This window comes from Homo sapiens, chromosome 2 (genome assembly GCF_000001405.40).
Source record: "Homo sapiens chromosome 2, GRCh38.p14 Primary Assembly".
In the NCBI taxonomy this organism is placed as follows: Eukaryota; Metazoa; Chordata; class Mammalia; order Primates; family Hominidae; genus Homo; species Homo sapiens.
This window is the reverse complement of record NC_000002.12, coordinates 182,752,888-182,768,177: the sequence shown is the minus strand read 5'-3', so window position 1 is coordinate 182,768,177 and position 15,290 is coordinate 182,752,888. Positions and strand designations below refer to the sequence as shown.

The following is a 15,290-nucleotide window of genomic DNA, read 5'->3' as shown; positions in this document are numbered from 1 at the left end:
AGACAGATTCTTGACAAATCAAAAACCTTCACTGAAAAATCTAGATGTGTGGCAATTCTAGATTTCTGAAATTCATCATCCAATTTCTTAATTTAGCCCTATTCATCACAAAATGTAACCACCAATAAATAACATCAGATCTTAACCTAATTCTCCTTCAAAATGTGGGGGGCACACGGCAACATATTCATACGTATGTACATGGCATTTGAGGTTGGGGCATGGAAAAATACCGAGGCACTGTGTGTATGTTATTTGTGCATGAGAATGTAACTCCTTGACCCTAAAAACAGGATACGGAGTGTAGTGTGTAGTATGATAAGGAATGCTGAAAACAGCCTCCTGAAACGCAGTTTGAGCATTTTTACAAGGCCACAGGTGTCTCATGACCAGACCTCAAAAAAGCCATCTAGTGGATATCTGTGGTTTAACAAGCTCTTTCAATAAATACTTGGTGGACGGATGATGCTGGGGTGGACTCTCTTAGAAGAGCTGCCCCCCACCCCCTCACCGGCCCTGCTCAGCTGTAATTGTCTGAGAACTCATTCTTGGCATTCACTGCAAGCTATAAGCTCTGCAAGTGGTGCCCTCGACGTGATCACCTTGAAGTTATGTGTGAAGGAGGAGAGCTCATCAATTTTCGAGGAATCCCAGTAAGGGACAGTCCTGACTCCCATCAGGAGGATGGGACCCATGCATAAAATACCAGGGGTTGGGTTATCATGGGTCAGGAAATGACCAAAGAACAGAAAGTATTTTTTAAAACAGTGCAACAGCTACTTAAGGCTATCCAGTGCACTGTAGATCCTGGAGCTCTACACAAGCTTATGCTTTTAATTTGGCAGAAATGCCCTTGGTTTCCTGATCACGGAACCTTAGATTTAGGGTTATGGAAGCAGGTAGGTCACTGCCTGAAAAGAGGAAATGAGCAAGGTCATTTTATTAACGCTACTATTTTGGCCACCTGGGCACCGGTACGCTCTGCGTGGTATCCTCTTTACCCACCAGATCGCCCATTATCTCCACCTGAAAGGAATTTGGAAGATTTAAAGGGAGAGATTCCACTCTACGCTTCATTCCCTTCTATGGGGAATAAGGAAGAGATTTTTTCTAGTGAGGAAAAACAGGAACCAGAACAGCACGGGGGTGCTCCTCTCTCTACTTGATTCCCTTCTGTAGGGCATAAGGAGTATATTTTTTCTAGTGAGGATAAGGACAGACTGGAGCCTTTTCCTCCCCCTACAGAAAAGCCATTGCCTTTCTTTCCTCCAACCTTAAAGGGACCTGCATCTGTTGGCCCCGTTCAGGCAACAGCACCTCCCATCCCCCTTAAGTAGATTAGAGGCCGCCCAAGTGACAGTTCTTAGATTATACCCCCGGTCAGCGAACATTTGTATGATTAGGTGGCTGCGTCTCCTCAACAAACTTCCCTGCTGGAGGGGTGCCTACAGGAGGGAAGGAAAGTGGCTGATTATGACAGTCTTCCTAATATGCAAGTTCTCATTTCCTATTTCCAGCATCAGCCTTTCTGGCCGTGTCTTTTTTCTGCTTCCCTGGAGTATAAGGAAAAGTTAGTTGCATCTTAGCAACTCTCCTGCCCCAGGCCTCTGTGGGTAGCAAGAAAGCCAGAGCTATCTGAGATAAAACCTAGAAGGCAGCATGCAACCAACTTTTCCTCACCAAGACATAAATATAGTTAGTGATTCTGCTTACATGGTGTATAGTATTACTCATTTAAATCTTGCACATGTGAAGGGCATTACTAATGAACCCCTACTAGCTTTGTTTCTTCCAGCACAAGAGCTCCTCGGTCCCATCATCACCCTCTTTACATCATACATATTCGCTCTCATTCTAAGCTACCTGGTCCCTTATCAGAAAAGAATGCTCAAGGTGATGCTCTAGTATGACCATAGATGTGGTCTGCAGATTCTCCTGCTTTTTTGCGAGTCCAGCTGATCATGATTTTTTTCATCAGAACGCCTGGATTCTTAAACAACAGTTTCATTTGACACTTGCTCAAGCTCGCATGATTATTAAAACTTGTCCTGATTGCCAACAGCATTCTCTTTCCCCTTTTTCCTTAAGGCTTGGTGCCAACCTACAAGGTCTGGTGCCTAATGCTATTTGGCAAACTGATGTTACTCAGTATCCACCCTTTAAACGTTTTAAATTTCTCCACGTTACCGTGTACACTTACACAGGCCTAATACATGCTACCCCCAGACCAGAAAAAAAACTAAAGATGCAATTGGTCATTTATTTGAATCCATTATAACTTTAAACCTTCCACAAACTATAAAACCTGATAATAGACCTTGCTAGCTTAGTGCTCGATTTGCATATGCATTGCAACTTTAGCACATACAACACAAAACTAGTATTCCTTATACCTCAACTAGTCAAGCCATTGTTAAACAAGCTTATCAAACTCTTAATATATATCTTAAACAAAAAACGGGGAATATGGGGCTCTCTTTTCGAGAACAGGACCTGTTGTTAGAGAATCGACCACAACAATGAAGGTGATGACTTGGAAGGCACCTAACACTACCTGGGGACAGCTAAAGAAATTGAATCAACAGGCATCTATTTGGCTTGCAGCTGTGGAAGCCCTCGCAACCGCATGGAATCGGTTTCTTAAGTATCTGGTGGTAACTGGGGAAACTTCTGAGAAAGTAAGACAAACATGGATGTTGGGGTGGCTGGCAATTCTTGTCCTTTGCCAAGTGGGATCAGCTCAAGAACATGTTTATTGGAGTCATGTTTTAAATCCCCGTTTTTAATGTTATTACATGGTGGGATGCTGACCTGCCTTTGTCATCCAATGATACTTTTGGGACAGGAGGTTGATAGATGCCCCTGTCTTACCCCTTAACTGAAAATTTGGGATGGATTAAACTTAATTACTACTTGATTTTATTGTCTAGTAATCCCCCTTTTTTTCCCCATAATAGCACATGATAAGTGTGTTACTCTCATTCTTCAGGAGTATCTTTATTACCAGCCCCAAAGGGATACTAAGTTTGCAAACTTGACCTTTATGTCTGCTGTTAGCACTAATCTTACTGAGGTCTCTAATGAAGCTACACAAGTGCCTGATCTTCCTATATGCTGTCTGAGTACGGACTGGCGATATAAGTGTGAGGCCATCCAGTGGTCGCCATGCAAACAGCCTGCGCTGCATCAAGAGCCTCTGTTTGATAATGACACCTTACTTGATTAGGGTCCCCATGGTAATCTTATGTCTGCAGATCAGACTATTGGATTTAGGAGTCCCTCCAATAGTTCTATCATCTGGTCAGAGTATGGGCTTTTAGGACCAATATTACAAGTAAAAGGGAAACAAGCTTTAAGCCATGCTCATACCCAGATTTGGAGATTAGGACTTCCTTTTTTTGAATGGGTTCTTTCCCATGGTGAGTATATTACTAGCGGTGGCAACTATACCCTCTCTCTGCATAATAATGTTACCGACATAGTCTTGATTTGTACTATGCACCCTTATATACTTTTGTTTCGGCAAGGTGTTCCTAACATAGAGCAGAATCAATCCTTTTATAGTATTAAAGTCTCTTCCAGTAGTTGGTATGCTACATGCTTCTCTCATCAAAACGTTACATAATTAAATATAACCTGTGTCATGATCTTAAAATGGCATGCAGAATGGTGGCTGCCTGTAAATTTAACTTGGAGCTAGGAAGAGGATTCCACCCTGCACCTATTTAGAAAAGCATTGTCTCATACTTGAAAAATAAGATTTCTGGCCACTTCAGTTGCCTTTTTACTCTCAGCTATTATTATATTAGCAACTGCCGCTACTGCAACTGCTTCTCTGACAGAATCTATTCACACAGCCTCAGTGATAAGCCACATGGTATATAATGTAACCCATGAATTTCAGGAATAGGTAAATATTGATAAAACTATTTTGTCTCACTTAGAGACCCTTGAAGCCACTTTTGAATGGCTAGGGGATCAGCAGCAGGCATTCATTACCCGTCAAAATTTACATTGTGATTGGCAATATAATTCTGTGTCACACCTCTGCCATATAATAGCTCCCAATATGCTTGGGAGAGAGTGAAAGCACATCTGCAAGGGGCTTATCACGACTATTTGTCTTCTCAAATTTCCACTCTTGAGTGTAAATTGAACAACTTGAAGAATAGTCACAGCAACTACAAACAAGTACCCTTCAGCAATTACAAGAAAGTTTTCATTGGTTAAACCCCAACACTTGGTTGTCTGGGTTAAACATATGCATTTAGGTGATGGCCGTTGTACTTATTCTTTTTTTTATCTGTTTGCTAGGCATTTGCAGACGGCTCTGTGCTGCCACCCAACGTATCTATGACCAAGGAAGAACAATAGAAGTTTACCTTGCATTGGATGACCAGCATGTGCTAAGAATTAAAGAAGAGGGAGACATCGGGGGAGCATGGCAATATATTCAACCTTATGTACGTGGCATTTGAGGTCGGGGCATGGAAAAATACTGAGGCACTGTGTGTATGTTATTTGTGCATGAGAATGAAATTCCTTGATCCCGAAAACAGGACAGGAGTGGAGTGTGTGGTGTGATAAGGAACGCTAAAAACAGCCTCCTGAGAATGCAGTTTGAGTGCTTTTACAAGGCCACAGGTGTCTCACGACTGGACCTCAAGCCATCTAGTGGATGTTTGTGGTTTAACAAGCCCTTTCAATAAATACTGTGCGGATGAATGCTGGGGTGGACTCTCTTAGAAGAGCTATCTTGCCCCCGTTCAGCTGGAATTGTCTGAGAACTCATTCTTGGCATTCACTGCAAGCTATAAGCTCTGGACAAAAAGTATAAAAATATTTGAAATTATCTATTTTTAATGTTTTACCAGAAAACATGAGTACATGGCAAATACTTTATCATTGTTCTTTCCTCCCCACAAAGGAAGCTCATTACTTTGAAACTTATTCAGTAAAAAGTATACTGAATAGAAATATACTAAGGAAATATTATTCCAAGCAGCAGTGTGTATTATAGAGTATTCTTAGTGACCTCAACAGTCACCATAACCTTTCACAGAAAAGTAGAAAATTACCTTGAATTCCAGCACTCAAAGATTATCACGAATAATACTTTTTTTGTCTCTTTCTAGTAGTTTTCCTATTCATTAGTATAAAAATGTTAAGGCAATTGAGTCTGTATCAACCACAAGACAAAAAACCTTTTAAGATCGCTTGGTATACATGTAAATTTTAAAAACTTGTATCAGTAATATGTAATAATATAAAAAAATGACAAGGATGAGAAAACAGAAAAAAAACATTACTCAGACTGAAACACATCTTTTGAGCTTGGCCTACTAAGGGAAGGAACAGAGGAAAGTCTGGACATACCTTTGCTCTTTCGTAGAAATAAAATTTAACAGTTGGATAGGCCCTGATCCCAGCTTTCTGGCATGTCTGAGCATAAGCCTGACAGTCTACTTTTCCAGCTTTCACTTTTCCTTTAATCATCTGAAAAAGAAAAATACAGTTTGCCATTTTCTGTTTGGCATAAACTATTTTGGCAACAACAAAGCAATAGGATATAAAACATTTTGAATCTAAGAATTTATTTAAAAAACTTTAATTCTTCCTACTCAAACAAGATTATTTCCACATTATCCCTTTAAGCCCCTATTCACCTAGCACCACCTCTCCAACAGCAAATAAACCCTCCTTTGCCTCATCAAGAAAACTGAGCAGCTTTATCCTGCAATGTCTCAACTTCTTCCTGCCACCCACTACTGGCACATCATACCATAAACATGTTTCTGTTTCTATCTTTTTCTCCTTTCACTGGGGGTGTGCTGTGGTAGGACTCTTTGGGCACTCTTTGTCTCGTGAAGGCTGACTTACTCCACCTGTATTCTCCAGTCCCTCCCTGTCAGAACACATATTCTCCAGTGAAGATGTATATAATCATGAAAGGATTCCTTCCTGGATTATGGTTCCTCTGTCATAGTGCTTCTCACGCTCTCTCTCTTTTTTTTTTTTCCTGAGCAGCAGTCTACTGTTTCACTGCTTCCCATTGTCTGCTTATTTGGCAACATTTTAGTCGTCTTCTGTGCTTACTGCTCCCTCTGCTGAAACTGCTGTAAGTTCACCAGTGACCGCTTGACCAAACTGGGCACTTTTTGGTCTTCTTATTGCGCAACTGATGTTTACTGCTGACCACTCCTTTCTTTCTTTTTTAGCATTTATCACTACTCTCTCTTGGCTTTCTTACCCCTCTGACTGTTCTTCCTTTTTCCAGCATGAGGATCTCCTTTACCTGCCCCTCAAGTTATAATATCCAATCAGAGTTCCATCTTTGATCAACAATCTTTTCACTGTGAACAGGTGCCCAAGGTGGTTTTACATATCTATATGCTGATGTACCCCAATCATTCTCTTCGATTTCATATCTAACCACGCATTGGCCTGCTTTGGGTGAATGCCGCATAAGCATCCAAACACAGCATGTCCCCTGAACCCACTTTTCCTCGTTCTATTCATTCAGTTCAAGCCAGAAATTAGGCTCATCCAGACTCCTCTCTATCCTTCATCTATCACATTCAATCCTATTTATTCTTATCTGTCTTTTGTATTTGTCCCCTTCTTTCTATCACCAATGCCCTAATCCTGATTAAAGTTATCACCTCTCACTTCAGGACACTTAAAATATCTTTGCTGCCTCTAGTTTCGTCCCCAAGGCAGGGGTTTACTAAAATGCAGACTAACTTGTGTTAGGGCACAAGCATGTAGGCAGACACACACACTTGCATACCGAAAGTAAGAAAAATGTAGAAATGTTAATTTCGTAAGTGTCTATGTCATTTACAAAATGTTTGTATATTTGCTTACTTGTATTTCCAATTACTTATGAGATGGCACCATACTGTTTCTGGTGCTCTAAACATCCTTCTCTGGCATCACTGACACCCTTCTACCCCTGTTCCAGCTTCATTCTAATTTTACTGTAGCAATTATCTTGTATTACTTATATTTATTTCCATTTTCTCTTTCCACTAGATTAAAATCTCCTTAAAGACATGGAATTTCTTTCTTTTCATCTTCCTTTTCTTTCATGTGGAGTTACGTGGCCCTACTACTTAGCATAATGGCTTTTCATTTGGTACTTAAAATTTGTTGAATAAATGGTCTTTTTCATGTTTAATAATTTTCTACTAGATACAATATAGAGTTGCATTACAAAGTTTATAACTAAAGTTTTTAGTACATGAGAAATGGAGTAAAGCAGAATTATTACAGAAGGAAGCATAAGAAGATTAGAATGGAAAGAATAAACCTCTTATCTGATGCACCAGCTAATAACAAAAATAATCTTTTATAGCTAGTAAGACCTTTAAAATCCCTCTGCTAAAAAATTCCCATGGCCTGGGATGCTAAGCTTTAGTGTGAACTGGTGGAACTGGAGCTGACTTTCTCATTCCAGTTGAGTGTTTTATACCAACACTAGTGGCAAGAGTTCCTCGAGTTATGGAGGCAAGAAAGCTATCAATCTGGATTAGGTCACTAATAAGACTGTTACGACAGAAAGAAACACCAAAAGCTCAGACTGCATTGAGGGTATGTATTCAGTTTAATTTTATATAAGCATTTACTGAGTTAGGCCCTGAGGATATAAAAATAAATAAAACATGGACTTTGCCCTCAGGAAGAGACAGCCATTTACAAAGGAAGATGGACAATGCTATACCGAAAAATAAAACCAACCAACCGAACAAAACCCAAAATTGCTACAACTAATTATTTCCATTGGTATCCAGCTCCTTTTATTTCTGGTCAAATTAAATATCTTTCAAGTAATAATAAATAAAGAATTAATATGCACTGTATCAGTACACTTGATAACATATCCAGGTGACACTGATTAACTGAGAAGGGCAGAGAATAGAGCAGTGCCATCGGAGCTGAGTTTTGCAGTAAGAGGAGAAAAAATACAGATGACCAAGGTAAGGACAGAGCATTTTAGAGAGAGGGAGCGGCATGTAAATAAGGACACATGTTCAGAGAACCTGGAGTACTCTGTTACACTGGAATCTAAGGTGTGAGGTGGACAATAGAGATAGAGCTCATATCAGACACCTGAAGTCAATGTATGCATATTAAGAAACTTAGTAAGTCAGAGAGGGAAATATTTTAGAAGATCACCAGGGCAGCACTGACAAAGGTAGACAGTATAATACCATAGATGACTCTTGAACAACAAAGGCTTGAACTGTGTTGAACTGCTTGAACTGGGAATTTTTTTTTTTAAGCAATTGCAGATGGAAAACAGAATAGTCATAGGATGTGAAACCCTGCATACAGAGGGCCCACTGTGAGGCCTGAGCTGCACAGATTTTGGTATGGAATGGGGGTTCCTGGAACCAATCCCCTGAGTATATCAAGGGAAGACTGCACTTAAAAGGCAAATATGGTTAAGTCTAGACAAGAGATGATAAAGGGTTGAAGAAACAGGTTAGCAGTAGAGATGAATAAGAAATGACATTTGAAAGACATTTAGGGGATAAAACTGACACAATCTAGTAACTGCCTGGAGGGCAACAGAGTACTGGGGTGGGGAGGAGAAAGTAGACAAGAGGGAGAAGAAAGAGACGTTTCTGGCTTTTATGGCTAGTAGATGATGATGTCTACCAAGATAGAGAAGATGTTAGCTAAAAGCTTTAACAAAGAAAGAGGAAATCTACTACAACCATTACAGTCATAGAAATATAATAGCTATTTTTAAATTCAGAGGAAACATTTAAGAAAAAAACCTAAAAATTACATACTTACAATGTTTTATCTAATTACTAAAACATGAATGTGGCTACAACTTATTTAAGACAGGTATGACTTACCCTAGCCAAGAGCTCAAATTCTGGAGCAAAATTCTGGCAAGGTCCACACCAAGGAGCATAGAAATCAATCACCCAATGATTTTTCCCTTGTAGAACTTTTTCACTGAAAGTCTGAGGTGTTAGATCTGTGGATACTTGAGGTAAAAATCTGTGGCAAATGATCAAAATCATTTTTCATTATATAAAACCAAAGCAAACATATGAAATGCAATAATATTGTAATACTTTCTAAGTTAAAAATGATGTCAAGGAAGGGCAATGTAATAAAGTACAGTACTATCTTGGTTAATATAATACTTTACTAAGTAATTTAAAATGCTAGAACCTTAACCCACAGTAAATTTAACTATTGATATAAAAGGGGGGTAAATGGCTTTGAATCTATTTTATACAATGATATATATTTTAATTACTCACCCTAGACCCCAGATTCTCAGGGAATAAGCATCCCTATTCCAACCATTGTAACTGCTGAGAGAAGAAAAAATGTTAGTTGTAAATAGGATTCTCTATTATTGGATGTATTCAGAAAACAATCTTATTGTAGCAATTTAAAAAATAAGTTATATTGATTGATTTCATCTGGTATCTCTCTTCTCAAATATACCTAGCTACAAATTCTGGTTATAAGGCCTCACAAATGTATTTTTCTCTAGTCTTGGTATCTTTGTGCCCCAGACAGCCCAGAATGTCTAGCTGTCTACTGGACATCTCCTGTAGACCTATGGGAATTGCGAAACTCAGAATGTCCAAGGGTTTTAGTTTCTGAATCTTTATTCAAGTTATTACTGTCTGTCAAATTCCTACCCATTTTTAAAGACACATGTCAAAAACTACCTACAAAATGCAGCCTTTCATAATTTCCTCATAGTTGTGACCCTTTCCTCTCTTGAAATCCATGGTTCATTTTTACTTGTTTAATAACATTCATCATATGTACCTTACATTTGAGTTTTCTACCTGAAATACCACGTGGTGTTGTGGAAACAGCATGGGTGCTGAGACAGACTTGGGTTCAAACCTCAACTTCAACTTAGCAGCTGTGTGACTTGGGGAAGTTATCTAAGCCTTAGATAACTCCTAGACCTTGGATTCTAAGGTCTGAGAATCACAGTTTACTTCTCTGTAATAGTAGGAAGGGTAGTAATTCCTAGTTCACAGAGCATATGTGAGGATTATTGGAAATAAGGTGAGTAAAGTATCTAATATAGTACCTGAAACCAAATAAGGTGTTTAAGGACTTAATAAATGTTAGCTCTTCCTTTCCTTATCTTTTTGTCTAGACTATAAGCTTTATGCACAGTGAGACTGTTCAATACTCCCTTTTCATCTTCTGAAATGTTCATTAACAAACTATCTTTACGTAGTGGGCTCCCAATAAATATTTGTTGGGTTAACTTTTATTTTGTTCAGGTAACTTAACTGTTAAGTGTATAATTAAATAATTATAATAAATGTCTTCAAATATGAGAGAATACTTACTGATAATGATAAGCTTTATTTGATTTTGGGGGAAAAAATCTTATCTCAGGGTATCTTTGAACGTTTTCCTGGGCACAAAAAGAATGATACTGTTGGCAATCTATACTGCCCACGTTGATCAGTCCAGTTAATGTCTGTAAAAGAAAAAACAGATTACCTCCATAACTTTTTACATATGTTTGCAATAAAGAAATAAGCATTGTATTATTATGGTGAAACAGTTATTATATTATTTATCAGTGACTTTTACCCAATAAAAATGGATAAGGGTTTAACATATAATAGACCATTTATACTAATGAATTTGTAATCTAATTTTGTAATTAAGTACTTACTAAAATTATTGCAGATTAAACAATTTATTTCATTTAACTGTTACATGAGAAAAAACTATATACTTCTAAAATTCAAAGTGCTAGAAACTAATGAAAGTCTTTGCAATATTTCAAAGTATTCTTTCCAATGAAAACAAGCTTTGTAGGTGTCTAATGTGTTATACTGACTCACACCTGAACTTAAAAATTTTATTGAAAAGAGCACAAAAATATGTAATCCTAAATGTTAAGATACTAGAAATCACTTTAACTCAGATTTAGTGTTTTATCTTGTAAACAAATGTGAAGTAGTAATTGCATTTTCCATTCTGGTATTTAAGTGATTTGTTTCCAATCTTCTACAACTTAAAACATGGTGCCTATTTTCAGGAAATTTTCTAAATACACATGCTGAAAGCTTTTTTTTCTTACTTTTAAGTCCTACAGTATGTCAGGAAATGATATTTTTAAACTCTAAAAATAAAGCAGGAAAAAAATTAGAAAAAATTGAAACAAATATGAGGTAAATTTTTGGGTTGTTGTTGGCAACAGTTTAGTCAAAAGTACTGGATATACTGGGCACGGAGGCTCATGTTTGTAATCCCAGCACTTTGAAAGGCAGAAGTGGGCAGATTACTTGAGGCCAGGGGTTCAAGACCAGCCTGGCCAACATGGCAAAACCCTGTTTCTACTAAAAATACAAAAATTAGCTAGGCGTGGTGGCACATGCCTGTAATCCCAGCTACTAGGGTGGTTGAGGTTGCGGTGAGCCGAGATTGCGCCACTGCACTCCAGAGCGAGACTCTGCCCCCTGCTACCCGACCAAAAAAAAAAAGTGTACCAGATGCTATACACACAAAAATGGTAGGCTATACCATTCACACACCAGACAGAAACAGAGCTGGAATCAAAGTGGTATGATCAGTACTGTTATTAAGTAATAATTTAGTTGTGGGTTCATTCACATCCGTTTCAAAATAATTCTGTTAAATAAACATTCTTAGTAAATGTTAAGATTTAAAATAAACTATTTTTACTATACCCGGGCCATTCTTTTCCATTCTGGCATTAAGACTTGGCAAGGATGACACCACGGAGAATAGAAATCAACCATCCAGACTTCGTTGTGTTTTCTTTGTGTAACTAGTTCGTTGAAGGTGGTGGGTGTAAGGGAGACCACTGAAGGATTCATAAGATCCTGAAGAGAATATAGCTTCCATTATAACATATATATAAAGCATAGCTGTTCATATATTCCTGGCAAATTGTTGGTACAGGTTGAGTATCTCTTATCCAAAATACTTGGAAGTATTGAGAATTTTGAATTTTGGAATATTTGCATATATCTTGGGAATGAAACCCAAGTCTAAACATGAAATTCAGACTTTGGAGCATTTCAGATTTAAGATTTTTGGATTAGGGGTGCTCAATCTGTGTATGTCCTTTAGAAAGTTCCCATTTTTGAGAAACCAAAAGATGCTTAAGGATAGCTAAAAGAAATCCAATGTGAATTATCTTAAAATATGAAAATAAACCTAACTTAGATTTTTAAGTTTGGATTTTGCTCATTAGTTTTGTAAAAAATCAAGGTCTATTTATCCTTTATCTCTATGTATCACTAAAATCATAACAGGCAAAGAGGCAACTTTAAGTTTCTGCATGGATAATAAAAGAGTTTCAAGGGCTGCCTGGATGTCTACAGAGGCCATAAAGTTCTGTTCTAGAACCAAGAATGACTGGTTTGGAAATGATTCTTTAATTACTAGTGGAAAGCCTACTATCTCATTTTTCTGACATTCTGACTGGAGATACTACACCTTTCTACAGATTCTTTGTTCCAAATGATATTTTAACAAAGCTTCAGCCTACAACAGTCAGGTAATACTGATGAAGAGGCTAGCTTCACTGGGAAAACAAGACAAAACATTACGTCAGAGGAGGAGGAACAGGTGAGTAGGACAGGGTTGGAGGGTCATCAAATGGATAATAATAAACTAGAAATTTTCTTTTTTTTTTTCTAGGAGTCCCCTGTAAGTATTTCTATCAAGAGTGTTACTGAGAAAAAAAAAAAAAAAGATGCTGTAGATGCCAGACACTTGTTTTCAGAGAAAACAGTGCAAAGGGGTGACAAGGTGAAAATACATTGCATATGTTCAATAAATAATTGTGTCCATTGTTTATAAGGCACTGTACATACCAGGTAACAAATAAAACACAGATTTACTTTGAGTTTACAGACAAGTATATAAGAAGAGTAAAACATTAGAAAAATTCTTTAAAAATCATTTTGTAAGAAAATAGTTTGGGCATGAAAAGAGTAAATCCTATTAAACAATATGAAACATTCATACAGGGTTTACATAGAAACAGACAAATTTCTAGTCACATAGTCTATAATCTGAAATACCTCTATGAACTCCAAGATTTGTTCAGCAGAGTGATGTCCTTCATACTCATGAATGTTGGACTGGTTGAATACCACTGTTGTTGGATAAGCCTGAATGTTATACTGATAGGAAGGAGAATATGAATTAAAGATTTTATAGATTTCACCTATTTGTTACAAATTTATAACAAGTTTGCCTTTAAGTAACAAGAACAAGATTTTAAAAACCCATTTCTAAATTTCTGGTGACAAAAATTTTAGTCTCACCAAATTTAGCAAAGGACTTATGGTGATGAATACTGCTAAATACTGATGAATACCTGATCCTTATTTATAGCTGCTCCATTCGCCATGAGAACCATAGGCATTGAAACATTGAGAAATCGGCATGGGTAATTATACGAATGGTCCCTTTTTACTCTCCTGAACCAAGGTAAGAAGAGGCTATAAACAACAGGCTATATCTCTAGCTTGAGTCTTTTTTTTAAACCATAATAAATACTTTTTCTAGAAATAGATGATGATCAGGAAATAAAACAGCAAGAATAAAGACACAAATAATTAGGGGGTACATGATTATATTTTAGGTTAAAGAATTATGAATCATGCCCTATGAATGTAATCCCTTTTTATTCTTCTTCAAGATAGCCTTTATAGTAGGAAATGCTTAATTTCCTTCTCAGAATTAAAATGGGCACCAGCCCAGGAAGCCTCTCTCTAAAGCTTTTATTTTTATTTTTCAAAAAGTTATAAAGAGATCCTTGTCTGTGGATTTGCTGTAGCTGAACTTTGCACTCTTAAAGTTTTAAGTACTCATTAGCAAACTGGAATCTTTGACCAGGATTCAAAAATAATTTTTGAAAAAACAATGGAAACATTTATATTAGTCTTGAAAAATGTGTGCAAATTCAAATAATTCACTGATTAACAAAGCAATTATAGCTAAAATTTAACTATGTGTTGAGCATTATTTTAGCATTTAACATGTAGTTTCTCATTTATTCTTCACAACAATTATACTTAGTTGCTAAAATGATAAAACCCACTGTATAAATTAGGAAACTAAGTTACTGAGAGGCTAAGTAACTTGGTCAAAGTCAACCAATTGGTGAGTGGCAACTAATTGGTGAGTAGTGAATCTTGGCCTCTATTCCAGGTAAATCGATATCATAGTTTTAAATCCTTACACTGAACTCACATATGTTTAATGAGCTAAGATGAAAAGTAGAAAAACTAAAGAAATTGGCTGGGCGCAGTGGCTCATGCCTGTAATCCCAGAACTTTGGGAGGCCGAGGTGGGAGGATCACGAGGTCAGGAGATCAAGACCATCCTGGCTAACACTGTAAAACCCCATCTCTACTAAAAATACAAAAAGTTAGCCGGACGTGGTGGCGGGTGCCTGTAATCCCACCTACTCGGCAGGCTAAGGGAGGAGAATGGCATGAACCCGGGGGGTGGAGCTTGCAGTGAGCTGAGATTGCACCACTGCACTCCAGCCTGGACAACAGAGCAAGACTCTGTCTCAAAAAAAAAAAAAAAAAAAAACTAAACTAAAGAAATTAAAATTAAGATAATTATTGTTTATCACATCAATTTTGTATCTTTGGTTGGCATTTCTTTCAAAGTTACAGAGAAAACATTCAAAACCAAAGGCCTTGTTTATTTCCTTTTATAAAAATGTATTTTAATGAAATTTCTACAGGCATGTGCCATTGCTGCTGGCTTAAACTTCTGTGATGTTCTAAAAATGTATGGCTTTCTTTTGTTTTCCTTCCTCTTCCCATTTCTTTTTTCCCTTTATCTTTTCTCCATCTATGTTCTTTAAAAACATTTTATTTTTTATGAGTTATTTAGAACATTCACAAAAGTAGAGAGCAACAAACTCTCGCGTATTCATATAGCTACAATAATCACTGACTCATGGCTACTTTTACTTCACTTATACTCCCTTTCTAGTCTACTCCCAAGATCATTTTAAAGCAAATTTCAGATGATCTATAATTTCATCCACAAATATTTCAGTATATTTAAAATATAAGGACTCCCCTCCATATAACCAAAGTATCATTTTTGTTGTCAAAAACTAACAATAATTACCTGAAATCATCAGATATCTTGTCAGTGTTCACATTTCCCCAATTATCTCTTTCTTTGCACTTGGTTTGTTTAAACTGCATCCAAACAAAGTCTAAATGTTGTATTTGACTGATAGTCTTTTAAGTCTTTTTAATCTCTCC

The 15,290-nt window shown here is 37.2% G+C and overlaps 1 protein-coding gene across 5 annotated transcripts in view; it reads right to left on the bottom strand.

Moving 5' to 3' along the window:
• Window positions 1–15,290, bottom strand: part of DNAJC10 (DnaJ heat shock protein family (Hsp40) member C10) — a 78,208-nt gene that overhangs the window by 26,287 nt on the left and 36,631 nt on the right. For 4 of the 5 annotated variants that reach the window (NR_073365.2, NR_073367.2, NM_018981.4 and 1 more), the window contains 6 exons: window positions 13,074–13,175; window positions 11,709–11,864; window positions 10,353–10,486; window positions 9,288–9,341; window positions 8,871–9,018; window positions 5,377–5,496 (listed from right to left, as the gene is read on the bottom strand). Coding sequence is in view for 2 of the 5 variants with exons in the window: in NM_018981.4 (NP_061854.1) it covers window positions 5,377–5,496; window positions 8,871–9,018; window positions 9,288–9,341; window positions 10,353–10,486; window positions 11,709–11,864; window positions 13,074–13,175 (714 nt within the window). In the remaining 3 variants the exon portion in view is untranslated. Of the gene's footprint in view, window positions 1–5,376; window positions 5,497–8,870; window positions 9,019–9,287; window positions 9,342–10,352; window positions 10,487–11,708; window positions 11,865–13,073; window positions 13,176–13,372; window positions 13,476–15,290 lie in introns of all 5 variants that reach the window. The other variant, NR_073366.2, reaches the window with a different exon arrangement.